This window comes from Homo sapiens, chromosome 22 (genome assembly GCF_000001405.40).
Source record: "Homo sapiens chromosome 22, GRCh38.p14 Primary Assembly".
NCBI classification, from domain to species: Eukaryota; Metazoa; Chordata; class Mammalia; order Primates; family Hominidae; genus Homo; species Homo sapiens.
Genome location: NC_000022.11, coordinates 30,038,919 through 30,066,069, shown reverse-complemented (window position 1 = coordinate 30,066,069; position 27,151 = coordinate 30,038,919). Strand labels below are relative to the sequence as shown.

The 27,151-nt window shown below is 44.1% G+C and overlaps 1 long non-coding RNA gene and 1 pseudogene across 1 annotated transcript in view; both read left to right on the top strand.

Annotated features, from left to right (window-relative positions):
* HORMAD2-AS1 (HORMAD2 and MTMR3 antisense RNA 1) overlaps window positions 1-27,151 on the top strand; it is a 71,512-nt gene that overhangs the window by 14,188 nt on the left and 30,173 nt on the right. Inside the window, exons 2-3 of the long non-coding RNA NR_110541.2 lie at window positions 15,481-15,609; window positions 25,792-25,893. This is a non-coding gene — a long non-coding RNA (HORMAD2 and MTMR3 antisense RNA 1). The remainder of the gene's footprint in view (window positions 1-15,480; window positions 15,610-25,791; window positions 25,894-27,151) is intronic.
* CNN2P1 (calponin 2 pseudogene 1) lies at window positions 18,828-19,994 on the top strand (annotated as a pseudogene).

Below are 27,151 nucleotides of genomic sequence, written 5' to 3'. Positions count from 1 at the left end.
GAGGGAGAGGGGGAGAGGGAGGGGGAGGGAGAGGGAGGTTTTCACCATGTTGCCCAGCTGGTCTCAAACTCCTGGGCTCAAGCCAGTCACCTGCCTCAGCCTCCCAAAATGCTAGGATTACAGGTGTGAGCCACCATGTCCAACCAGTTAATTTTATTTTTAAAAATTTTTGTAGAGATGAATATTGCTATGTTGCCCAGGCTGGTCTCAAACTCCTGGCCTCATTAGCTGGGTGTGGTGGTGCTTGCTTGTAATCCCAGCTACTCAGGAGGCTGAGATCAGGAGAATCATTTGAATCCAGGAGGCAGAGGTTGCAGCGAGCCAAGATCACACCACTGCACTCCAGCCTGGGTGACAGAGCAAGGCTCTGTATCAAAAACAAAACAAAAACAAAAACAAAAAAACTCCTAGCCTCAAGTGATCCTCCTGCTTCAGCCTCATAAAATACTGGAATTACAGGCATGAGCCACTGTACCTGGCCTAAAGTTATTTTCTTAGTGGTTTCCTGGTGATTGTAATTAACATCTTAGTTTGTAGTAATCTAGTTCAGATTAATACAATGTATTGAGTGAATTTATTTTACAAAATGAATTTATTATAGAAAAACTTTCTTTCTATGTAGCTCCATTCCTTGTCCCTTCCTTTATGCTTTTTTTTTTTTTTTTTTTGAGACAAGGTCTCATTCTGTTGCCCAGGTTAGAGTGCAGTGGCATGATCTCAGCTCACTGCAACTTCCATCTCCCAAGTTCAAGTCATTCTCATGCTTCAGCCATCTGAGTAACTGGGATTACAGGCATGCGCCACCACAGTCAGCTAATATTTGTTATTTTTAATAGAGACTGGATGTCACCATGTTGCCCAGGCTGGTCTTGAACTCCTGAGTTCAAGCAATCCACCCACTTCGGTCTACCAACGTACTGGGATTACAGATGTGAGCCCCTTTATGCTATTTTTTAACATACGTAAACCTCTTTATATATTATAAGCCCATTAACACCACTTTATTAGTATTGCTTTATGCCATTGTCTTTTAAATTAGATAGAAGAAAAAATTACAAAAAATACATTTATGTTATCTTTTATATTTAGCTTTGTAGTTACCTTTACCAAAGTGTTCTTTATTTCTTCATGTGGATTTGAATTACTGACTAGTTTCCTTTCATTTCAGCCTGAAGGACTCCCTGTAGAATTTCTTGTAGAGCAGGTCAAGTTTTGTTTATCTGGGAATGTCTTAATTTCTCCTTTGTTTTTGAAGGATAGTTTTTCAAGATACAGAATTCTAGATTCACAGTACTTTTTCCTTTCAGGACCTTGAATATGTTATCCCACTACCTTCTGACCTAAATGGTTTCCAAGGAGAAATGAATTCATCTTATGGAGGATTCTTTGTATGTGATTAATTGCTTCTCTCTTGTTGGTTTCTAAATTGTCTCTTTGTCTTTAACCATCAATCATTTGATTATGATGTATCTACATATTGGTCTCTGATTTTATTCTATTTGTAGCTTACTGAGCTTCTTGGATGTGTAAATTAATGCTTTTCACTATATTTGGGAAGTTTCTGGCCATTATTTCTTTGGATATTATTTATCTGACTTCCCTCCTTCTGGAACTTTCATTATGCCTATATATTGATACAGTTGATAGTGTCCTCCACCTATTCCTCCTCAACTGGATAACCTCAAATCATGTATTTTCACATTCACTGATTCCTTCTTCTGTTAGTTCAAATATACTGTTGATCCCCTCTGGTGAATTTTTCATTTCAGTTACTATACTTTTTAACTCCAGAATTTTTTTTTTTTTAGTTCTTTTTTAAAATAATTTCTTTCTCTTTATTGATATTCTACATTTGGCAAGATATCATTCTCATATTTTCCTTTAGGTTTTTAGCCCATGGTTTTCTGTAGTTCTTTGTGTATATATATATACACAACATATAGGGAGGATACAATGATTAAATTATGCTTAGAAAAAAGTAGTGGTATACAGTTTAAATTGGAAAGGGGGATAGCTAGAAGTCAGTTGCTTGGTTTGGATGCCTCTATAATAATCAAGGTAAGAAGGAACTAGGATCTGAGTTGGAGTGGTGCCAAGAGAATGAAAGGAGGGAATATTGCAAAAAAACACTGTGTAATTAATACTGACAGGTCCTGGAAACTAAATGATTGTGGGATAGAGGGAAAAAGAAGAATAAAATAGAATGCATATATATATATATGAACTGATTTATAGTCTTTGTCTACTAAGTCCAACATCCAGGCTTCTTCAGAGATTATTTCTCTTGACTGCTTTTTTTTCTGTGTATGGTCATACTTTCTTGTTTTTTTTCCTATGTCTTAGAATTTTGTTGAAAATTGGAAAATTTAAGTAATGTGGAAATCATATAATAATCTGAAAATCATATTCCCCACCCTAGGGCTTGTTGTTGTCATTTGCTTCTGTAGTGACTTCCCTGAACTAATTTTGCAAAGTCTGTATTCTTTGTTGTGTGTGGCTGTAGAAGTCTCTGCTTGAAAAGCATTCTATTTTGTTCTTCTTTTTCCCTCTATCCCACATTTATTTAGTTTCCAGGACCTGTCAGTATTAATTACACAATTTTTTTTTTCAATATTCCCTCCTTTCATTCTCTTGGCACCACTCCAACTCAGATCCTAGTTCCTTCTTACCTTGATTATTATAGAGGCATCCAAACCAAGCAACTGACTTCTAGCTATCCCCCTTTCCAATTTAAACTGTATATCACTACTTTTTTCTAAGCATAATTTAATCATTGTATCCTCCCTAACCAAATAAAGTTTTTTAAAAAAATGCAAGGCTGATTAGGTTTGGAGAGACTTGCCCATATTTGTATACTGAGAAAAACCTTGTCTCAAGGGAGTGCCTGCATATAGGATAGTGTGGGGAGTAACTGAGAGCATAAAGTCCTAGAGGAAGCAAGAGGGACTTTGATCAGGAAGACCCGCCTTGTGTACAATCAGAGGGCCTTTATTTTCTGACACAGGATTGAAGGTGCTAAGGATGTATTGATATGGTATAGGTGTTATAGGACAGATGAAAGAGAGAGAGTATAAGGATATTATCTCCTCTTTTATAGAGGGGTCATCTGCTCAGAGAGGGTTAAGTGTGATCCTGGAGTCTTAGAGAGAATAGTTTCAGAATAGTCACCGAAAAATGAGAAAGATTTTTACTTGGGAAGTTTAAAAGGATTATAAGGACTTTTATGAAACATTCTAGGTAACATTGTCACTGTGTCTTTAAAGTTCTTAGTGACATTGGGCTTCATTAAAGAAACCAACTTTTTTCTGCCGGTGCTCAGAAACTGATGCCCCAAAATACGGTGCTTTGACATGCTGAACTGAAAAAGTAGTTTCTCAAGGTCTCTCTGATCTTCCCCTCTCTTTCTACCTCCCCCGCCCACCGCCCCCAACTACTGTCTCCTAATCTTCTGTCTCTCCCTAAGCACAGGATAAAGTTTCCTTATCTGCCTAAAGTCTGAACCCACCAAAGAAAAAAATAATTGCCTCTGGTCCCTTCCCTGAGTTTTCATTGACTGAACTTATATTGCAGGAAGAAAGACTGAAGTCTGTCAACACAGCTGGACAGACTTTTGTCACAAACCATTGTCTGCTCTGTGGGCCCAACGGACTTTGTTCCAGGCCATTATATGTTCTTCAAGTCCATTGAATTCCCTAAAAAATCATTTAGTATCCCCCCAACATCATCCACACTTCCTCATCTCCCTTTCCCATGGTGGGGTGATCACTCTGTGATTCTCCCCATGCACATTAATAGATTTGTTTGCCTTTTCTCCTATAATCTGCCTTTAGTCAGTTGATTTTCAGTAAACATTCAGAGGGGAAAGGGGAAGTTTTCCCTTGGTCCCTACATATTGTATTTGAAGATGTCCACTTAAGGTTGATCTTTGTGGGCTGAGGTATATTTATGATGTATTTTTTAAAACTTTGTTTTGCTACCACATGTCCGATGGGCCAATAAAAATAATCACATTTTAAGCATGCTTTCCCATACATATTTTCCGATGATCAGCACAACCACCCTCAGAGACAGGCAGTGCACAGATTGCTTTCGCTTTTTTTTTTTTTTTTGACAGAGTCTTGCTCTATTGCCCAGGCTAGAGGGCAATGGCGCAATCTTGGCTCACTGCAACTTCCCCCTCCTGGGTTCAAGCAATTCTCCTGCCTCAGTCCCCGCAAGTAGCTGGGATTACAAGCATGCACCAACACACCTGGCTAGTTTTTGGATTTTTAGTAGAGATGGGGTTTCACCATGTTGGGCAGGCTGGTCTCAAACTCCTGACCTCAGGCTATTTGCCCGTCTCAGCCTCCCAACGTGCTAGGATTGCAGGTGTGAGCCACCACGCCTAACCTGCTTTCGCTTTTTCACAAATGAGAAAATACTTAGAAGTTTATAGACCAGGCCGGGCACAGTGGCTCATGGCTGTAATCCCAGCATTTTGGGAGGCCGAGGCAGGTGGATCACGAGGTCAGGAGTTCAAGACCAGCCTGACCAACATGGTGAAATCCCGTCTCTACTAAAAATACAAAAATTAGCTGGAGGTTGTGGCATGGGCCTATAATCCCAGCTACTTGGGAGCTGAGGCAGGAGAATCACATGAACCCGGGAGGCGGAGGTTGCAGTAAGCCGAGATGGTGCCATTGCACTCCAGCCTGGGCGACAGAGTGAGACTCCATCTCAAAAAAAAAAAAAAGTTTATGGACCTGGATCTGTGCAGACTAAACATTGCGTATAGCAATCCAGGACTCAATCAAGTTTTACAATCTTGGTTTAATGCTCTAAGTTCTGCTCTTTGCAACATGAGCATTAACAGCTATAAGAAGAGAACAGTCCTTGTGGGTAAGAAATTCTGTTTTCTGGGCCAGGCACAGTGGCTCAGGCCTGTAATCCCATCACTTTGGGAAGCCGAGGCAGGTGGATCACCTGAGGTCAGGAGTTCCAGACCAGCCTGACCAACATGGAGAAACCCCGTCTCTACTAAAAATACAAAATTAGCCAGGCATGGTGGCACATGCCTGTAATCCCAGCTACTTGGAAGGCTGAGGTAGGGGAATCCCTTGAACCTGGGAGGTGGAGGTTGCAGTGAGCCGAGATTGTGCCATTGCACTCCAGCCTGGGCAATAACAGTGAAACTCTGTCTCACTCTTTTTTTTTCAGAAAAAAAAAAAAGAAAAGAAATTCTGTTTTCCAGCTGCAACACATGACATAGAACACCTGAGCAATAACCACAATTAGGGTGACAGTGAGAGCTGAAAGGCAGCAGAGAGGGCAAAGAATAGTGACAATTCAAGCCTTCCAATTTATAAGGTCCCATTTAATGTGTTATTTCATTTGATGCTACAACAATCTTATGGGGAAATTATGATTATACCCATTTTTAAACTTGTTAGGAAACAATTGCTGAGAACTTGAAATATTTGTCTAAGGACACGCAACTGGTAAGTGGTAAAGTTGGAGATTCAAACTCAGATCAACTTATTACAAATCTCATTCTTTTCACTAAACTTGATCATCCTTGGAATCATTGGCCAGATTCTTGATCTTTTTTATTTTCTTTTTTCTTTTCTTTTTTTTTTTTTTAATTGATCGTTCTTGGGTGTTTCTCGCAGAGGGGGATTTGGCAGGGTCATAGGACAATAGTGGAGGGAAGGTCAGCAGATAAACAAGTGAACAAAGGTCTCTGGTTTTCCTAGGCAGAGGACCCTGCAGCCTTCCTCAGTGTTTGTGTCCCTGGGTACTTGAGATTAGGGAGTGGTGATGACTCTTAAGGAGCATGCTGCCTTCAAGCATCTGTTTAACAAAGCACATCTTGCACCGCCCTTAATCCATTTAACCCTGAGTGGACACAGCATGTTTCAGAGAGCACAGGGTTGGGGGCAAGGTCATAGATCACCAGCATCCCAAGGCAGAAGAATCTTTCTTAGTACAGAACAAAATGGAGTCTCCTATGTCTACTTCTTTCTACACAGACACAGCAACAATCTGATTTCTCTATCTTTTCCCCACATTTCCCCCTTTTCTATTCCACAAAACCGCCATCATCATCATGGCCCGTTCTCAATGAGCTGTTGGGTACACCTCCCAGAGGGGGTGGCGGCCAGGCAGAGGGGCTCCTCACTTCCCAGAAGGGGCGGCCGGGCAGAGGCGCCCCCCACCTCCCGGACGGGGCGGCGGCCGGACGGAGGCGCCCCCCACCTCCCTCCCGGACGGGGCGGCTGGCTGGGCAGGGGCTGCCCCCCACCTCCCTCCCGGACGGGGCGGCTGGCCGGGCGATCTTTTTTATTTTCATTTGTCTAAAGATATTTTTGAATTTCCCTGGTGAGTGCCTCCTTGATCCATTGTTTATTCCAATGTGTTGTTTAATTTCCACATACTTAGGAATTTTTCAGTTTTCCTTTTGTATAGATTTCTAGTTTTATTTCATTGTAGTCAGAAAAGATACCTGGTATGACTTCAGTCTTCTTAAACTTGTTAAGACCTGTTTTGTGGCTTAACAAGTGATCTGTCTTGGAGAATGTTTCATGTATGCTTGAGAAAAATGGGTATTCACCATTATCACTGTTATTGGGTGGACTGTTCTGTATAGGTCCAATTGGTATATAGTGTCGTTCAAATCTTTTATTTATTTATTGATCTTATGACTGGTTGTTCTACCCATTGTTGAATATAGGTTATTGAAATCTACTATTTTTGTGTTACTGTCTGTTTCTCCTTTCAATTCCATTAATGTTTGCTATAGCTATTTGGATGCGCTTATGTTAGGCACATATATAATTCTTATGTCTTCTTGGTGAATTAATGCCTTTATCATTATATGATGTTCTTCTTTGTCTCTTGTGACAGTTTTTGACTTAAAGTCTATTTTGTTGGATATAAGTGTGGCCTCTTTGCTCTCTTTTGGTTACTATTTGTATGGAATATATTTTTCCATCCTTTCATTTTCAGCCTTTGTGTGTCCTTATGTCTAAACTGAGCCAGTAGACAGCATATAGTTGGATCTTGTTTTTTAAATCCATTCAGCCACTCTATGTCTGTTGATTTGAGAGTTTAATCTATTATACATTTAAAGCAATTACTGATAGAGGAGGACTTACTGTTGCCATTTCTTTCTCTTTTTAAATGTCTTGTAGTTAATTTGTCCCCTTTTTCTTCTCTTGGTGTCTTCCTTTGTGTTTCATTAATTTTTTGTAGTGACATGCTTTGATTCCTTTGTCAGTTTTTTTTTAATCTTCTATAGGTATTTCCTCTGTGGTTACCATGGGTTTTACATAAGGCATCTTATAACAATCTATTTTAAACTGATAACAACTTAACTTCAATTGCATATGAAACTTTACTCCTTTACATCCCCCCTTTATGTTATCAAGGTCATAAATTACATCTTTTTATATTTGTATCATTAATATAGTTTTATAGTTATAATTATTCTTATGATTTTACCTTTTTAATTCTGTACCAGAATTAAATGTTATTTATATGCCACCATTGCAGTATTACAGGATTTTGTATTTGTCTATATATTTACCAGACAGCTTTATATTTTTATATGCTTTTGTGTTGCTATCTAGTATCCTTTAGTTTCAACTTGAAAGAATTCCTTTAGCATTTCTTATAAGGCAGGTCTAGTGGTGAGTACTCCCTAAGCTTTTGTTTATTTGGGAGGGTCTTTAGTTCCTTTCATTTTTGAAAAATAGTTTTGCTGGCTCAGGCTTGTAATCCCAGCACTTTGGGAGGCCGAGGCAGGCGGATCACGAGGTCAGGAGATTGAGACCATCGTGGCTAACACGGTGAAACCCCGTCTCTACTAAAAATACAAAAAATTAGCCGGGCGTGGTGGCCAGCACCTGTAGTCCCAGCCACTGGGGAGGCTGAGGCAGGAGAATGGCGTGAACCCAGGAGGCAGAGCTTGCAGTGAGCCGAGATTGTGCCACTGCACTCCAGCCTGGGCAACAGAGCAAGACTCTGTCTCAAAAAAAAAAAAAAAAGAAAAAGAAAAATAGTTTTGCTAGATATAGTGTTCTTGGTTACTAGTTTTTCTTTTTTATTCTTTTTTTGAGACAGGGTCTTACTCTGTCACCCAGACTGGAGTGCAGTGGCACAATCATGATTTATTGCAACTGCAACCTCTCAGGCTCAGGCAATCCTGCCTCAGCCGCCTAAGTAGCCAGGACTACAGGCACATGTCAACGTGCCCAGCTGATTTTTATTTAAAAAAAAAAAAATGTATAGAGACGGGTCTCCCTGTGTTGCCCAAGCTAGTCCTGAACTCCTGGGCTCAAATAATCCTCTCACCTCAGCCTCCCAAAGTGCTTGGATTACAGGTGTGAGCCACCATGCCCACCCTTTTGGGTTTTTTTCTTTTAGCACTTGGAAAATGTCATTAAATTCATCCACTCCCTTCTGGTCTGTAAGGTTTCTGCTGAGAAATCCACTAATAATATTATGGGAGCTCTCTTGTATGTGATGAGTTGCTTTTCTCTAGCTGCTTTCAAGATTCTCTTTTTGTCTTTGACTTTTGACAGTTTTATTATAACACATCTCTTGCCGGCCCATTTGGGTTCATTCTGGTTAGAATATTTTGAGCTTCTTGAATTTTTTGGGTTTTTTTTGAGACAGGATCTTGCTCTGTTGCCCAGGCTGAAGTGCAGTGGTGTGATCACAGCTCACTGCAGCCTCAACCTCCTGGGCTTGAGGGATCCTCCCACCTCAGCCTCCCAGGTAGCTGGGACTATAGGTGTGAACCACTACACCTGGCTAATTTCTGTATTTTTTGTAGAGATGGGATTTCACCATGTTGCCCAGGCTGGGAACTGCTGGGCTCAAGCGATCTGCCTGCCTGCCTTGGCCTCCCAAAGTGCTGGGATTACAGGTGTGAGCCACTGCACCTGGCTGAGCTTCTTGACTTTGGATGTCCATTTTCTTTCTCAGATTTGGGAAGTTTTAGGCTATTATTTCTTCAGATAAGCTCTTTGTGCTCTTCTCTCTCCCTTCTCCTTCTGGAACTTCCCTAATGCATATATTGGCCTACTTGATGGTGTTCCATAAGTTCCTTAGGCTTTGTTCATTTTTCTTTATTCTTTTCCTCTTTTGCTCCTCTCACTTGATCATTTTAAATGACCTGTCTTTAACTTTGCTGATTCTTGCTTCTGCTTGATCAAGTCTGCTGCTGAACTTTTCTAGTGAATTATTTTCTTTAGTTACTGTATCCTTTTTTTTTTTTTTTTTTTTTTTTTTTTTGAGACAGGGTCTCACTCTGTTGCCCAAGCTGGAGTGCAGTGGCATGATCTTGGCTCACTGCAACCTCTGCCTCCCAGGCTCAAGGGATCCTCCCACCTTAGCCTCTCAAGTAGCTGGGACTATAGGTGTGAGCCACCATGCCTGGCTGGCTTCTATTTCTTTAGGATCAGTTTCTGGTGATTTACTTTGATCCTTTGATTGGGCCATGTTTCCCTGTTTCTTCATATGTCTTATTAATTCTTGTTGGAATTTAAGCATTTGTAAAAACAGCAACTTCTCCCAGTCTTTATAGACCGGCTTCATACAGCGGAAGAACTTCATCAATCAGTCCAGCTAGAGATTCTGTGGGCCTCTCAAACCTTTTCTGGGGATGCATCTCTCCGGGCTTGTGCATATAATTTCCCAATTAGAAAAGTTTGCTGGTTTTTATCAGGAGCTCATAATTTCTTGCTGCTTCCATTGTCTGTTTTCAGTACTGCAGGTTTTCTGGTGCTGCAACAAGCTGCTGAGCTGTCTCAAGGGCCCTCATGTATCCAAAGTATGCTAGTTCTCTGTCAGCATTCAGAGTCACACAAAACAGAAACCAGTCCCTTGGGTAGTTTCCCCAAAAAGCTGGAACATTAGATGTAAATTCCATTCTTTTCATTCCCTCCCATGGAAGAAGCCATGAGTTGGGCATTTTTTTATGATTACACTGAGCTGTGCTGGCTTGTGGAGAAAGGACTATCATGAGTGAAGGCAATGGCTTCTTACCTGTTTCCATGCAGCTGTTTTTGGCTTTGCACTTGCCTGGGGTACTGTGACTTCTTTTTTTTTTTTTTTTTTTGAGATGGAGTCTCGCTCCCATTGCACAGGCTGGAGTGCAGTGGCACGACCTTGGCTCATTGCAACCTCCACCTCCTGGGTTCAAGCGATTCTCCTACCTCAGCCTCCCAAGTAGCTGGGATTACAGGCATGCACCACCACGCCTGGCTAATTTTTGTATTTTTAGTAGAGATGGGGTTTCACCATGTTGGCCAGGCTGGTCTTGAACTCCTGACCTCAGGTGATCCACCCACCTCAGCCTCCCAAAGTGCTAGGATTACAGGTGTGAGCGACTGTGCCCGGCCTCTGTGACTTCTTACTTGAGTTTTGGAGTTCTCATAAAGGCTTTTTAAACTGTATGTTATTGTTAAGTAAGTGTCTATGTATTTTTTAGTGACAGGGTCTCACTCTGTCACCCAGGTTGGAGTGCAATGGCACAATCATAGCTCACTGCAGGGTTGAACTCCTGGGCTCAAGCGATTCTCCTCCCTCGGCCTCACAAGTAGCTAGGACTACAGGCATTCACCACCATGCCTGGCTAGTTTTTTATTTTTAAATTTTTTTGTAGAGATGAGTCTCACTATGTTGCCCAGGCCAGTCTTGAGCTTCTGGGCTCAAGCAATCCTCCCACCTCAGCCTCTCAAAGTCCTGGGATTACAGGTGTGAACCGCCATGCCCAGCCCAGTGTTTCTTTAGGGGACCAAGGTCTGTGGCTTCCTATTCCACTCTCTTGCTGACATCCCTCCAGATTCTTAATCTTTCTGAGTTGCGGGATATTTGACAATCTGACAAAAGCTGTGAAACATCTTTTACCTAGAAAAAATACACAAACAGAAATTATGAGATATGAATTTTGAGAGAATTATATGCCCTCACATGCACATGAATATATAGCTATTCACGAAGCCTGGTTTAAAAATCTTGATACAGTCTGTGCAGTAAAGCATTAAATCAGCAGGCTTGGGTTACTTAAGCCCTGCATATTCCAAATAATGGCCTGGCCCTTGACCAGCTTCTGGGAGATAACTTCTGAAGCTTGAAATATCCTGCCTGATAAGAGTGTCTTTGTATGCCTGAGGCCTTGGGCCACACTGCATCTGTTTGTCCAGGTAGATTATGCTAACAATGTGATTTATGGTGAATGCCTATTTTTGTATGCCTGAAATCCTGGACCACACAGTGTCAATTTGACCTGTGCAGCTGGAGATTGACAGCTAAGGTCATTTACACAGGGGCTGCATACCTATATGACTGCCTCCAGTTAAAATCCTGAACACCGAGACTGAAGTGAGCTTCCCTGGTTGGCAACAATTTGCACGGTGTCAAACATCATTACTCAGAGCATTAAACACTGTCTGTGAGACTAGTAGAGGACAGCTGAAAGCTTATGCCTGGTTTCTCCTGGGCTTTGCCTTATGTGCCTTTTCCCTTTGCTAATTCGAATCTGTATCCTTTCACTATAATAAACCATAACCATAAGTTTAACAGAGTCCTATGACTCCTAGTGAATTACTGAACCTGAGGGTGGTCTTGGGCACTCTTGACATAGTTCAAATCATTCACATGGAGCTAGCCAAATTGTCATAACCACTACAGCAATTAGGCCACATGTCTCTCAGCAGCCAAAACAAAAGTTCATTCGAACAAACATTTAATGAATGCTTATCATTTGCTAAGTGCTAGGAAAGTACAAAGACTCGAAGATAAATACGTTCATGCGTTGAGCTACAGCCTTGGCATAGGTCTCTCCAGCCTTCAAAATATAAGTGGGACCTCATGTACCTAGGAGGTATTGTTTTCTTTCTCGTTGCTTCCAGTTTGTCTCACCGAACACATCATTCTGTGTCAGGCCGTGCTTAAAAGGAATTCTTTTTGTTTGCAAGGTAATGACTTTTTGAGGGGTTTTGTCTTAATTTTTGAAATGTTTATTTTTAAAAGTCAGGTCTATTGAGGCATAATTTATATATAGTAAAATTCACCCTTTATAAGTATATAATTCTGTGAGTTTTGGCAAATGTATACAATCATGTAATCACCACCATATCAAGATACAGAACATTTCTGTCACCCTGAAAAATTTCCTCATGTTCCTTTATAGTCAAGTCTCCTCTCCTCACCCACAGTCCCTGGCAACCATTGATGTTTCCTGTCCCTATAGTTTTGCCTTTTCTAGAATGTCATATAAGTGGAATCATATGGTATGTACTCCTTTGTGTTTGCCTTTTTTTTTTTTCAACTGACCACAGTGCTTTTGAGATTCATCCATGTTGTTGCATGTATCACTTGTTTGTTCCTTTCCATTGCTGGGTAGCTTTCCATTATGTGGATGGGCCACAATTTGTTTATCCATGCACCAGTTGTTAGACTTTTGGATTGTTTCTAGTTTAGGGCTACTTTGAATTAGGCTACTATGAGCATTCACATTCGGGTGTTTGTATGGATATGCTTTCATTTCTCTTGGATAAATACCTAAAAATAGGATTGCTATGTCAAATGGACGAGTATGTTTATAAGAGATTGCCTATTGTTTTTCCAAATGGCTTTACCATTTTGTATTTCTACCAGCAATGTATGAGATTTCCAATTGTTACTCATGCTCATCACCACTTAGTATTATCGATCTTTTCTTTTTCTTTTTCTTTTTTTTTTTTCCAAGACAGAGTCTCACTCTGTCGCCCAGGCTGGAGTGCAGTGGTGAGCTCAGCTCACTGCAACCTCTGCCTCCCGGGTTTAAGCAACTCTCCTGCCTCAGCCTCCCAAGTGGCTGGGATTACAGGCATGTGCTACCACACCTGGCTAATTTTTGTATTGTTAGTAGAGATGGGGTTTCACCATGTTGTCCAGGCTGGTCTCGAACTCCTGGCCTCAGGTGACCCGCCCACCTTAGCCTCCCAAAGTGCTGGGATTACAGGCATGAGCCACCACGCCTGGCCTTTGTTTCGTTTTTTGTTTGTTTGTTTGTTTTTGAGACACAGTTTCACTCTGTCACCCAGGCTGGAGTGTAGTGTTGCAATCTCAGCTTAATGCAAACTCCACCTCCTGGGTTCAAGTGATTCTTGTGCCTCAGCCTCTCGAGTAGCTGAGATTACAGGAGTGTACCACCATGCCCGGCTAATTTTTGTATTATTAGTAGAGACGGGGCTTCACCATGTTTGCCGGGTTGGTCTCAAACTCCTGAGCTCAAGTGATCCACCCATCTCGGCCTCCCAAAGTGCTGGGATTACAGGTGTGAGCCACTGCACCTGGCCAGCAGTTTCTTATAAAGCCAACTATAGGACCCAGCAATTCCACATCCAGGAATATGCTCAAGAAAAATTAGTTTATATGTCCACCAAAAGTCTTATACAAGAATATTCATAGCCACTTAATTACTAATAGCCAAAAACTTGACAAAATCCAAATATCCATCAAGAAAAACATAGAACAGTTTGTGATATAATCAGAGAATGGAATATCACCAGCAATAATAAAAGTAAAAAAATGTTGTAATATGCAGAACAGCATGGATGAATCTCAAAAACTTTATGCTGAGATTAAAAAAAAAAAAGCCAAACAAAAAAGTATATGATTCCATTCATATGACATTCAAAATCAAGCAAAACTAATCTATGGTGGTAGAAATCAGAATAATGGTTACCTCCGGAGGACTAGGTATTGATTCAATAAGGTGCAAGGGTCCTTCCAGGGTGAAGGAAATGGTCTGTATGTTGAAGTGGGTGAAGGTTTCATGGTGTATACATACGTAAAAATTAATTGAGTTGTACATTTAAGACTTGTGCATTTTACTGTATATAAATTATACCTCACTTTTAAAACACTTTTAATAAAAAAAATTACTATGGACCCCTAAAAATCCTGTGTTTATTTAACAGCTATCACATTTTATCATATTAGCAAGGCACAGTGGCTCAAACCTCTAATCCCAGCACTTTGGAAGGCTGAAGCAGGAGGATCACTTGAGCGCAGGAATTCCAGACCAGCCTATCAACATAGTGAAAGCCCATCTCTACAAAAAATGTAAAAATTAGCTAAGCACGAAGGTGTGTGCCTATACTCCCAGCTGGTCACAAGGCTGAGGCAGGAGAATCACTTGAGCCCAGGGGTTTGAGACTGCAGTGAGTTCTGATCACACCACTGCACTTTAGCCTGAGTGACAGAGTAAGACCCTGTTTAAAAAAAAAAAAAAAATTACCATATTATAAATTGAAATGGACAAACTTTATTTTTATTTTATTTTATTTTTTTGAGATAGAGTCTTGCTCTTTCACCCAGGCTGGAGTGCAGTGGCGCGATCTCAGCTCACTGCAATCTCCGCCTCCTAGTCTCAAGCAATTCTCCTGCCTCAGCCTCCCAAGTAGCTGGGATTACAGGCGTGTGGCACCACACCTGGCTGATTTTTGCATTTTTAGTAGAGACAGGGTTTTGCATGTTGGCCAGGCTGGTCTTGAACTCCTGACCTCAAGTAATCCACTCACCTTGGCCTCCCAACGTGCTGGGATTACAGGTGTGAGCCACCACACCCAGCCCAAAATAGAGAAACTTTAAAATATTTAACTCATTTAGAAATAACACTAATAAACTCATTACACATTAACATAACATTTAAATGAAAAATAACTACATTGTCTAAAACAAAACGATAATGGGAAGAATGTCATTGTTTTACATCTTTGTAAATTTCTTTAATGTCTGGCTCAAAAGAAGACAGCTGGATTCTTAAATCAACTTCTGCATTTAATTTTTTAAGCTCTCACATGTCACTCAGTGTTTGGAAACTCCACTGTATACTTGAAAGAGAAAGCAAATGAAAAGACAAATAACGGGTTATTATTATTATTATTATTTTCCTTTTTTTTTTTTGAGATGGAGTCTCGCTCTGTCACCCAGGCTGGAGTGCAGTGGCACAATCTCAGCTCACTACAAGCTGTCCTCCCAGGTTCAAGTTATTCTCCTGCCTCAGCCTCCCTAGTAGCTGGAACTACAGGCGCCCGCCACCACGCCTGGCTAATTTTCATGTTTTGAGTAGAGATGAGGTGTCACCATGTTGATCAGGCTGGTCTCGAACTCCTGACCTCAAGTGATCCTCCCATCTCAGCCTCCCAAAGTGATGGGATTACAAGAGTGAGCTACCGCACCCGGCCTATTATTATTATTAAAATAATTTAGACCTCATGACCATCTGAATGAGTCTCAGAGCCTGTAGGGTCCCTCCTCACCACACATTGGGAACTGCTGCTCTGATCTGCCCCCCTGCAGGCTACTTTTTTTGCATTTTTCTAGAAAAGAAATAAAATACCCACACGTAGAATGGGGTTCATGTTAGCTACTATTTTTTATACCGCTTCCTAGTACCTTTCTCATTTGCCACAGTTCTACCTCTGCCTCCCCTATATTTTCCAGGTTCAACAGCTTTGGAGAGCAGGACATCTTTTCCTCTCAGCCTGGCCCTCTGCAATGGAGGCCATAAATAGGCCAGTAGTGGAAGCTACAGAACACGTGAGCATGGCAGGGGCTGAGCTCCATTTCAAGGTAACCTCCATCACTCTCTACTCTCTTACATATAATATCACCATAATTTGCTGTTGGAATTAGTCTTTGCCTTGACAAATGTATTCACATATGTATCTTGCATCCAATTTTTTTTTATTTTTGAGACAGGGTCTTGCTCTGTCGCCCAAGCTGTAGTGCAGTGGCGCAATCTCAGCTCACTGCAACCTCCACCTTCCAGGTTCAAGCAATTCTCCTGCCTCAGCTTCCCCAGTAGCTGGGATTACAGGCGTGCACCACTCTGCCTGGCTAATTTTTATATTTTTTGTAGAGACAGGGTTTCACCATATTGGCCAAGATAGTCTTGAACTCCTGACCTCAGGTGATCCGCCCTCCTCAGCCTCCCAAAGTGCTAGGATTACAGGCGTGAGCCACTGTGACCGGCCCCTGCATCCAATTATAAAGTATGACTGTCACTACAGAAAGTTCTCTGTTTCTTTTTTTTTTTTTTTTTTTGAGACGGAGTCTTGCTCTGTTGCCCAGGCTGGAGCGCAGTGGCGAGATCTCAGCTCACTGCAAGCTCCGCCTCTTGGGTTCATGTCATTCTCCTGCCTCAGCCTCCCGAGTAGCTGGGACTACAGGCGCCCGCCACCACACCCAGCTAATTTTTTGTATTTTTAGTAGAGACAGGGTTTCACCGTGTTAGCCAGGATGGTCTCAATCTCCTGACTCCGTGATCCGCCCGCCTCAGCCTCCCAAAGTGCTGGGATTACAGGCATGAGCCATCGCACCCGGCTGTTTCTTTTCAATCAAGCTCTGTCCCCACCACACCACCAGAGGCAGTGTGGTAGAATAATAATAATACATTAATAAAAATTAATCCCAGAATATTTTAACTAATCCCCAATGAAATTCTTTGTAAATTTATTTGGGACCAGGCATGGTGGCTCAGGTCTGTAATCCCAGCACTTTGGGAGGCCAAGGCAGGAGGATTGCTTGAACCCAGGAGTTCAAGACCAGGCTGGGCAACATGGCAACTCCCCATCTCTACCAAAACAAATTTTTTAATTAGCCAGGTGTGGTGGTGTGCACCTGTAGCTGTGGTGCCAGCTACTAGGGAAGCTGAGGCAGGAAGATCACTTGAGCCCAGGGAGTCAAGGCTGTGGTGAGCCATGTTCATGCCACTGCACTCAAGCCTAGGTGACAAAGTGAGACCCTGTCTCAAAAAAAAAAAATTATTTGGGAAATCTCTGGATTTCTTAGGTATACTGTTCTTGGTTACAGACTCTATAGAAGTCACAAAAATTTTCCAGTCTTTTCTTAGATAATAATAGATATTTTGGTTTTTTTCTTCAAGTTATTCTAAATTATGAAACAGGAGGACTGCTCTTCAAACAGTAGAACAGGTATTCAACAAAAGTTTTTTATTTCCATACTATTGAATTGCTTGGATCTAAGGAAGAATATATTTAATGGGCAAAAGTCTCAAAAGAGAAAGCAGGTCACTATTGCTCTTTCCCATTTATCAATGGTGCAGCTCGGCAAAGCTCACATCGTATTGTGCAAGGTGAAAAGAACCCTCTCAGGGTTCCAAGTTGCAGGATATGATTAAAGCCTAGTGACAATAAACCAAGCTGACCTCAGGGCCTGTTTCCCAGACAGTCCTTTTCAACATTAGTACTCAAGGCAGATCAGAACCTTTCAGAGCTAGGGGAAATACATCCTGCAGTGCTTAATTGTACACCCCTTGAGGCCTGCAGATAAACTCCCTTATCAAAAGAAGGCTTGAGTCCCCAACAAGTATTGAGTGGCTCCATTATTTCTTCCTCTGTCCCACGAAAATGGTTTTTCAGTGCAGAGGATAATTCTGCACACATTTATCAGTCCTGGCATGGACCTAGCCCGGTGGAGCACATGTGGATGAAACACGTGATGTCCAATTTCAAGGGATTTACAGTATATGTAGTTCTTTGCTTTGTGGGGAGTGCCAGGTAGATAATGACTCCAACTAAGAGGTCAGGCAGGGTGGGGAGGGGACTTGTGGAAGACAGAAGATGTGAACCAAGTCTTGAAAGATGGGTAAGATTTTTGACAAACATGGATGAGAATAAAGAGCCAACCATTTTTTAATACCGCAGCCCAAGTGATCTTTCTGAAGCACACATCTAATTATTCCATTTCCCTCTTTAAAGCCATTGGGGATGAGAAATATCAACACCCACTTTGTTTTGTGAGATAATGGTGCCCAGCATACAGTGAGTAAGGAAACTGAGGCTCAGGGTGGGGCCACGTTGTCTCCAAAGCCAGCTAGTTAATGGCAGAATCATACTAGAACTCAGGGCCCCTGGGGTCACTGCTCTCCAGCACCTCAACAGCCATTCTTGGCTGAACTCACTGAGCAAAATCAAGGTGCCAGCAGGACTGTGTTCCTTTCTGGAGGCCCTTGGAGATAATCCATTTTCTTGCCTTTTCCAGCTTCTAGAGGCTGCCCACCTTCTTTGGCTTATGATTCCTTCTTTCCTCTTTAATGGCTGGTTGAGTCCTTTACACATCACATCACTCTGACACTAACCCTTCTGCTCTCCTCTTAGGCTTGTAAGGACCCTTGTGATGACATTGGTCCTACCCAGACTACCTAGGATAATCTCCCATCTCAAAGTCCTCATCTTAATCCCATCTGCAAGGTCCCTTTTGCAATTTAAGATAACATATTCAACAGGTTCCGGGAATGAGAACATGGATGTCTTTGGAGAGCCATTATTCTGCCTACCACAGATATAACCTGGCTGTTACCACCAAGGGTTGGAATGAGGATCATTCTGGGACTGCTGCAAGAGGCTGGAAACTGGAACCAAGTGCTACCTTCATGGTAAGAAGCCAATGCTGGAACAACACTGACTGAAGCATCAAGCAAAACAGGAAGGAGCAACTCCTTCTACCCTCCTCCTGGCTTCGAGTCTCTCTCTAGCTCCCCTTGTTGGCGGGACCTATCAGAAGGCCAGCTGGCTAAGGAGGACTATAGTTTCAGTTTCAGTTCCAGCATCCCAGACCTGAATATAGAAGGGCAGGTTGGAAGCCGAGAGACAGTAGCTTAGTAACTGACAAAGATGCCACTAAAAAATTCAGTTTAAACAAGTGACAGCCTGGGATTATATTACATTTAATAAAAAGTTCAAAGCTCCAATATATAATGGCTTTTATAAACCAGTAAGAAAAAGCAACCCAATAAAAGTGGGCAGATAAGAATGAAAAATTCACGGGTACTGTCCCGTCCTGTCCGGTCCCATCCCGCCGCCGTGTCTGCCAGCCATGAGCTCCACGCAGTTCAACAAGGGCCCCTCATATGGGCTGTGGGCTGAGGTCAAGAACCAGCTTCTGTCCAAATATGACCCCCAGAAGGAGGCAGAGCTCCACAGCTGGATCAAGGGACTCACAGGACTCTTCATCGGTCCCGACTTCCAGAAGGGCCTGAAGGACGGGATTATCTTATGCGCACTCATGAACAAGCTACAGCCAGGCTCAGTCCCCAAGATCAATCACTCCATGCAGAACTGGCACCAGCTAGAAAACCTCTCCAACTTCATCAAGGCCATGGTCAGCTACGGATGAACCCCATGGACCTGTTCGAGGCCAACGACCTGTTTGAGAGTAGAAGTATGACACAGCTGCAGGTGTCTCTTCTCGCCCTGGTGAGGAAGGCCAAGACTAAGGAGCTGCAGAGCAGGGTGGACACTGGCATCAAGTACTTGGAGAAGCAGGAGTGGAACTGTGACAACCCCCCTTGAAGGCTGGCCAGTGCATCCTCGGGCTGCAGATGGGCACCAACAAATGCGCCAGCCAGTCAGGGATGACCGCATACGGCATGAGGAGGCATTTCTACGACCCCAACAACTACATCCTGCCCCCCATGGACCACTCCATCATCAGTGTCCAGATGCGTATAAACAAGTGTGTCAGCCAGGTGGCCATGACGGCTCCTGGGACGCAGCGGCACATCTCTGACACCAAGCTGGGAACCGACAAGTGTGGTAACTCCTCCATATCCCTGCAGATGGGTTAGACATAGGACACCAACCAGAGTAGCCAGGTCTTGGCCTGGGCCAGCAGATATACGACCCCAAGTACTGCCCGCAAGGCACAGTGGGGGCTCCCTCAGGCGCCGGCGACTGCCTGGGCCCCGGGGAGGTCCCTGAATATCCCCCTTACTACCAGGAGGAAGCTGACTATGAAGTCTGCCAGCATGCTCTCTCCCCACATCATCTCCCCGTCTGGGTTTTTGGGTTTTTCTGTGTTTTCATGTCTTTTTCCTCTTAACCTGTTCAGTGCTGCCAATCAACCGAGGGTCTGTGAGTGGCAGCATGGGATCAGGCAGCAGGGCTTCTTTCCCCTTTGCCTTGGTCCTTCGCAGGACTGAGCCACCAGGCTGTGGGGGAAGGAGTCAAGGCCATATCCCGCTAAGTGTAGGGTGAGGGTCCCTGTTGGCATGTCCAGGCTGTGGGCCAAGCTGTGCTGGGGAGAAGAGACCTGGGCTTGGAGGGAACTGGTCCCCGAAGGTTTCCAGTTGCCTCTCCTTTTCTCCCTTTTGTCAGCTGATCAGTTTGTGGTTTCTGTACCTGCTAAAGCTTCAGGAAGTATTAACAAAAGAAAAATACATTTTTTTTTTTTCCGAGGAATGGGGCAGGGACAGTGGAGAGGGTGCTGGGAAATAAGTCCCTTGGGAAAGGGGGCCTGGCCACGATACTAAATATCTCAGGCTCCCAAGTGGCTGGATTTCCCTAGGACCCTCAGACCAACAGACCTCAGACCCTCAGACCTGCCCCAGGGCTCGGTGGGGAAAGTGAGGCCTGTACAAGGAAGTGGAATTCTGAGTTGTTAGGGCTAAGCCTGACCCCCTCTCTATGCTAACTCCCCACACTGTGACCTCAGTAGGTTTTGTTGTTGTTGTTGCCCAGCCTGGAGTGCAGTGGCGTGCTCACAGCACCTCCACCTCCTGGGCTCAAGGGATTCTCCTGCCTCAGCCTCCCAAGTAGCTGGGACTGCAGGTGCTCCACCACACCTGGCTAAATTTTGTATTTTTAGTAGAGACAGGGTTTCACCATGTTGGCCAGGCTGGTCTCAAACTCCTGGCCTCAGGTGATCTGCCTGCTGCAGCCTCCCCAAGTGCTGGGAATACAGGCATGAGCCACTGCGCCTGACCTCTCAGTAGGTTTTAAAGAGCCCCCAGCCCTCCTTCTCCCTTTCTTGGCCTGACCAGCTATACTGCTCCATCTCCCCTGGCCACATGCCCCACCAAGTACTGCACAGGGACCCACACCCAGGGGCCCTGCTCCATGAGATAATGTGAAATACGACTGTGGACCAAATGCAATAAAACATCTGTTTGTAAGAAGAGAAAAAAAAGAAAAAAGAAAAATTCACAATGGCCAATAAACATATGAAAATATTCTTAATCCCATTAGTGAGCAGGGAAATGCCTTAGGGCCTAGACGCAGGAGAAGGAGGTCATTCTTTTTGTTTAGAAGATAATCCCGATCCTTCATTTTGGCACAGCTGAAACACAAATTGGCACACCAAGAATTAATGGATCAATGAAGAGCAAGAGTTCTCCAGGTAGGAAATAAGAAGACTGGAACATGAGCATACAAACCATGCTAAAGGAAGAGCCTTCTTGGGCAATGTCTATATATGTGGAATTAAATCTTCAGAAGAACAGTCCATGCAGTGTCTGCTCATTGCAGAGCTCTCAGTTCAGAAACAATAGCCACTTTCGAGAGCACTACTGGAGAGGTAGCTCAGCCCACTCTTGAGAACCCCAGGCCAGTCCCATTTCCCACAAGCCAGCTGTAATAAGGAGTAAATCTGGGGTGTGGGGTATTGAGTAGGGCACAGGGCCAGGAAAAACAAGTTAGAGAGTCTCTAGGCACCGGTGAGTCATGTTGATCATATGATAGATCAATTCAAATGAGGTAATAAATGACTAAAGTGCACTTCTAGGCTAGCACATAGTTGTGGCAAGAGGAGTTTGTCTTCTTTTTTCTTATTCCCAAACCAGCACGATTTGTCTTCAGTGACCCTTACAGCATTCTTTGTGCTGACAATGAGTGGGTCAGCTTGGTCTTTTCTGGAGGATAGACGAAGAGCTAAAAGTATCCAAAAGAAACCAGATAACAAAAACCTGAAGCCTGAAGACATTTTTCTTGTGTGTCAAAGTCCTAATTTTAGACCCAGTTGAAGGCTCATTATCCAACATATTACAGTATGGAATTGTACCTCTGCTGCATCTAGAAGGAACTGTCCATCACCAGAAAGAAAACAGCCTGCTCAGTCGATCTTCAACATTCATGGATTCCGGTGATGGCAAAAGTGATTCCTGACTTTCACAGTCAGTTGCTTTTTGATCTCTCTTTCGAGTCACCCTCAGAGGATACCTGGGTACCCATTTCTCTTCCTGGTTACTCTCCTCTTTCTCCATCCACTACCCACCCCACCCCTGCCCTGAGTCCTCGTTCCAGTCTTGACTGTAGTAACAGTCCTGGGCCTTCTCCTAAATACAGCATAAACCAGACCAACAAACCTTTCTCTTGAGGGTTCTGATAGTCCCCAGCCATCCTTCCATGACTTATGCTAAGCAGCTCTCTCTCTCTCTGGGTAAAAAGGGCAAGGAACAAAAGGATTCTGTGAAACAGGAAATCCTTTTCTTCCACAAAGTCAAACCAGATATTAGACTTTTGGGTTGGACATAAGTTTATTTGCATGTTTGTCTGCTGCTATGCTTTTATGCTTCAGAAGCTAGGCTGAGATTACAGGTTGAATGTCCCTTATCCAAAATGCTGGGACCAGAAGTGTTTTGGATTTTTTATTTTTTCGGATTTTGGAATATTTGCATTATCCTTAATAGTTCAGCATCCCTAATCTGAAAATCTGAAATCCAAAATGCTCCAGTGAACATTTCCTTTGAGCATGTCAGTTCTCAAAACGTTTCAGATTCTGGATTGGGGATGCCGAACCTGCAATAAATTGCTCCTCCCTTCGTCTCCCCACGGGTTCTATATTGTATTTAAGCTGCCCTCCCTCCCTTCCTGTAACTGTGAGTGCCAAAGCAACTCAGATGTGCCTCCACTCTAAGCTATAAAGAAATAATTAGCCACAGTTAATGGCCCATAATTTGTTATTTCTGTATCCTGTTCCTCAGGGTTCCCTCCTAAATTATTATCAGGAAGAAACATAAAACTACACATAAAACTGTATTTCATAGAAACAAAAAAAATTGAGCTCCTTTTTTTGCTTTGTCTCCCTGTGATTTGAAGAAGTTGGACTTCCTAGATGGAAATGAGGTTCACTGCCACGGATGGGAAAGGCTGCCGCACGTTGGTTTGCCTCATTATGTTGCAGACATACATACAGGACCGACTATATAATTTGTGGGAGGGACCTAGTGAAAAATGAAAGTGTGGGGTCCTTTGTTTAATGTTAGTAATTTCAAGACTGCAACAGAGGAGCATTAAACGGAAGGTGGGCCCTTCTGAGTGTGGGGTCGTGTGTAACTGCAGAGGCTGCACACCTATGAAGCCAGCTCTGCACACAGAGAATGGTCTCAGGACTAGAAAGACCAAGGGAACTCCACCCTGAGAAGGTCAGGAGAAAGCACGGGTGAGGTGGTGAATGGTGTGGCCAAGGACAGTGTCGTCTAGGTGGTTCTCTGAAATGCAATCTGCTTGGCACTGGATATTGGAGGGCCCAAGGATCAGAGGTACACGTATACATGAGGACGCTGGAAGGAAGCAGGGCGAAGGGTGTGAGAATGCTGAGATTGAAGGAGGGGTGGCACAGAGCGGGAGTTCTAGGCATGGAATCATCTTGTTTTGTTTTCAATCAACCCATTTCTTTCTTTTTTTTTTTTTTAACTGAAGTAGAATGTATCAAATTTAGATGAATGACCTTTTTCCCTCCAAATCTGCTCTTCCCGTTTCTTCATCTTGGTGAATGTGAATCAGTCCTCCTAGTTGATCAAGGCCGAAGCTGCGAGTTGTCTCTGACTGATCCCCCCCTAAGTCCATAGAACATCAATTCTATCATTAGTACCTCTCTTGAGCCCACACATCTACTTGTTCCATAACCAGTGAAACCACCGTCATTCCTGACCATGACTGTGGTAGCAGCCTCCTTGCTTACAGCTTCTGAATCATCTAGACTGGAGTTTTAAGTCCTCATTCTGCCACAAGTTAGCTGAGTGAGCTTGGGCTGGGCTCTTTAACCCCTCTGTGCCTCAGTTTCCACATCTGTAAAATGGGAATAATAATACCTATCATAAAGCATGGTTGTCAGGGCTAAAGGAAATGAAGACGTGGCTGAGTGTCTTCCCTCTTGTTCCCTCTCCATCCCTCAGGCCTTCAGTGAAACATTCCTTCCCTTGTCTGACTTGCTCAGTGCAGGTTCCCACAGGCTGCCAACCTGCTCTGCAGCCCTCATCACACTTCCCTGTCTTCTCTCAGCACTCCTCTCCATAAGGACAAGGATCCTGGTTTCCATGGCCAATGTCCATCTGACACGGAGTAAGAGTTCACCTTGCTATGTGACTGATATTCTCACATAGAATCAAACATTCCCAGGCATGACTCCCTGTAAGCTTTCCCCTAACTGTAAGTGAGCAGGTGACCATGTGACAGAAACAAATGACGAAGACCAAGACTATCCCACCAGATATTAAATTAAACCTGGGGCACTGGAATGGCTCATTAGAGCAGATCCCTCTGTAAGAAACAGACCTAGGTCAGGTAAGGCCACCCAAGGAAGCCAGGAAACTGGGTGCTCCAGGTCAACACAGCCAAACTCCGCAGAGAACACAGTGGGGCTGGGGCTGGGATGTGACAACCTGGGACAGGGAGACACCCCAGAGGAAGGAATAAAGGTGGGACCTCTGAGTGGTGGGCCATCCCTTTGTCCTCAGGCCCTGGAAGCTCCCCATCCAATGCTCCCCACTGAGGCCAACAGGGTAAGAGGTGTGCACACTAGGGGGCTTGTGCCCTGAGCCGGTCAAGGCAGAGTGGGGGGATGGGGTGCTAGGGTTTTTTTTTTTTCTTCATGAAATAACATATATGTAGGAAAGCACAGCAAACATATCTGTAGGGGTTGCTGAATTATAAACCCACTACTCCAATCAAGACCTGGAGATCCCTAGCACTCTAGATCCTCCCCAACCTGTTCTCTACATCCTCCTAGAGACCACCGGGACCTCGGCTTTTGTAGTTACCATGTTCTCGCACCCCCAAAGAATAGTTTTGTTTTGCCTGGTTTTGAACTTCTCAAAAATGGAATCATACTGCATATATTTTATTCTTTTTTCCACTCAATATTCTGTGAGATTTGTCCATGTGGCTGTATGTAACGACTTTGATTCGTTGCCATGTTATGTTTGTGGCTAACTTTCACAAGTTCCTTATTCCTTGCCCTGTGGTTGGACAGTTGTGCTGTTTCTGGCTTGTGCATTTTCCACGACTTAGTGTGAGACTTCTTCTGGATGGCTTGCAGGGGAGTGGGAGTCTGGGCTGGAAGGGAAGGTGAGGGAAGCAACAGAAGCAGCCCTGGGCATGGGGGGCGCAGAAGGTGGGAGGGATCTGTGGGTCAAGCAGGACTACTGAAGTGCAGAGCAGGGTTGAGGGTACCACAGAGGAAAGGGCCTCCACGTGTGCTCCTACTCTGAGACTGGACGGGAACACTCCCCGCAAGGCCATAATCGGGGGGTTTAGTAGGTATGGGCACAGCAAGAGAGGCCAGACAAGGCAGCTTATTGCACAATGCTGCCCTTGGGGCTCAGAGGAAATACTAGAAATTGACCAGAGAGTCAACCTCTGGTGCCGCTCCTTTCCTAGGATGGGCATCCATCAAGAGGTTTGTATTTGGGAAGTTCAGGGATCACTGGCTGCACATCCAGACACTGGCCCACATGGAGGTAAGGCGGCTGAAGCCCTGAAGGAAGGGGCTCTGCACTGCTGACCACTTGCCTAGACCTCGCCTGTGCTGGAAGCAAGGCCACCCATGGAGCCCATCTCTCGGAGACTTCAGCAGCCCAGGGCAGAGCTTCCTATCCTTGCCAGAAAACCTGTCCCTGGCATCACCCCAACCCCGGTATTTCTTGTTGGGGACTGTCCTGGCTGGAGATGGCCTAGAGTCCTTCCCACACCCTGAGAGACCTGACATATTTCCCTATTCTCTTGGGTTTGGCAGATATGGGTAAGAGGAGGGATGCTGTTGCCTTGGAGCTGCCAGGCTGCATGGCAGACAAGCAGGATTCCTGCTGCCTCCCATGGAGACTATACTGGAACGCAGGTAAGGTGCTGGGAATCAGTCACAGATGTTCAAGTGCAAGCTTTGGCAGAACCATTCTTTCCACTGTAGATCAGCCAGACTTTGTAAAACATGATCTATTTCCTCACTGGATCCTCAACAGTCCCATGGGCAGACTGGACAAATATCCCCATAGGTGAGAAATTAAAGCAGAGTAGAGTGGTCAACCCCCTACCCTGTAAGTGACTGGGGGCTAGAATACAGGTCTCACAACACTGGGTCAGGGCTTTGTCTGCTGTGCACAAGCAGGCACTTGCCTAGGCAGATACTGAGCTCTAGCTTCATCATTTCATGTTTGATTTTCTATAGTGTAATCAATCATAGGATCATTAGCCCCCCTGGTGTCTGCTGCAAATTTATCTTAAATGCCAATTTGTCCCTGCATTAGAAGGGAAGCTGTTTAGTTGAGGGAGCTCTTCCTGAGAAACGGTGAATTTTATGTTATTTTTTATTTTTTTGAGACAGAGTTTTACTCTTGTTGCCCAGGTTGGAGTGCAATGGTGCAATCTCTGCTCACTACAACCTCCGCTTCCCAGGTTCAAGCAATTCTCCCGCCTCAGCCGCCCAAGTAGCTGGGACTACAGGTGCCTGCCACCATGCCCGGCTAATTTTTGTATTTTTAGTAGGGATGGGGTTTCACCATGTTGGTCAGGCTGGTCTTGAACTCCTGACCCCAGGTGATCCACCCACCTCAGCCTCCCAAAATGCTGGGATTATAGGCATGAGCCACCATGCCCGGCTGAAACAGTTAATTTTAGTGAGCAGCTGATTCCTTTTTTTTTTTTTTTTTTTTTGAGACAGAGTCTTGCTCTGTCGCCCAGGCTGGAGTGCAGTGGCTCGATCTCGGCTCACAGCAAGCTCCGCCCCACGGGTTCACACCTTTCTCCTGCCTCAGCCTTCCGAGTAGCTGGGACTACAGGCGCCCGCCACCACGCCCGGCTAATGTTTTGTATTTTAGTAGAGACGGGGTTTCACCATGTCAGCCAGGATGGTCTCGATCTCCTGACCTCATGATCTGCCTGCCTCGGCCTCCCAAAGTGCTGGGATTACAGGCATGAGCCACCGCGCCCGGCCCCTGATTGATTCTTGCATTGGTGATTGCTTCATGCATGACTTACTGAGTTTTGGAAAGAAACAGTCCTGTGTAAAGCCAATGAAACAGCACTAGTACTTTAACATTCAGTGTTCTTTGGAGTTGCTCTTGAACCCTTCTCTGCCCTGGTTTAGGCCTTTTTCATGC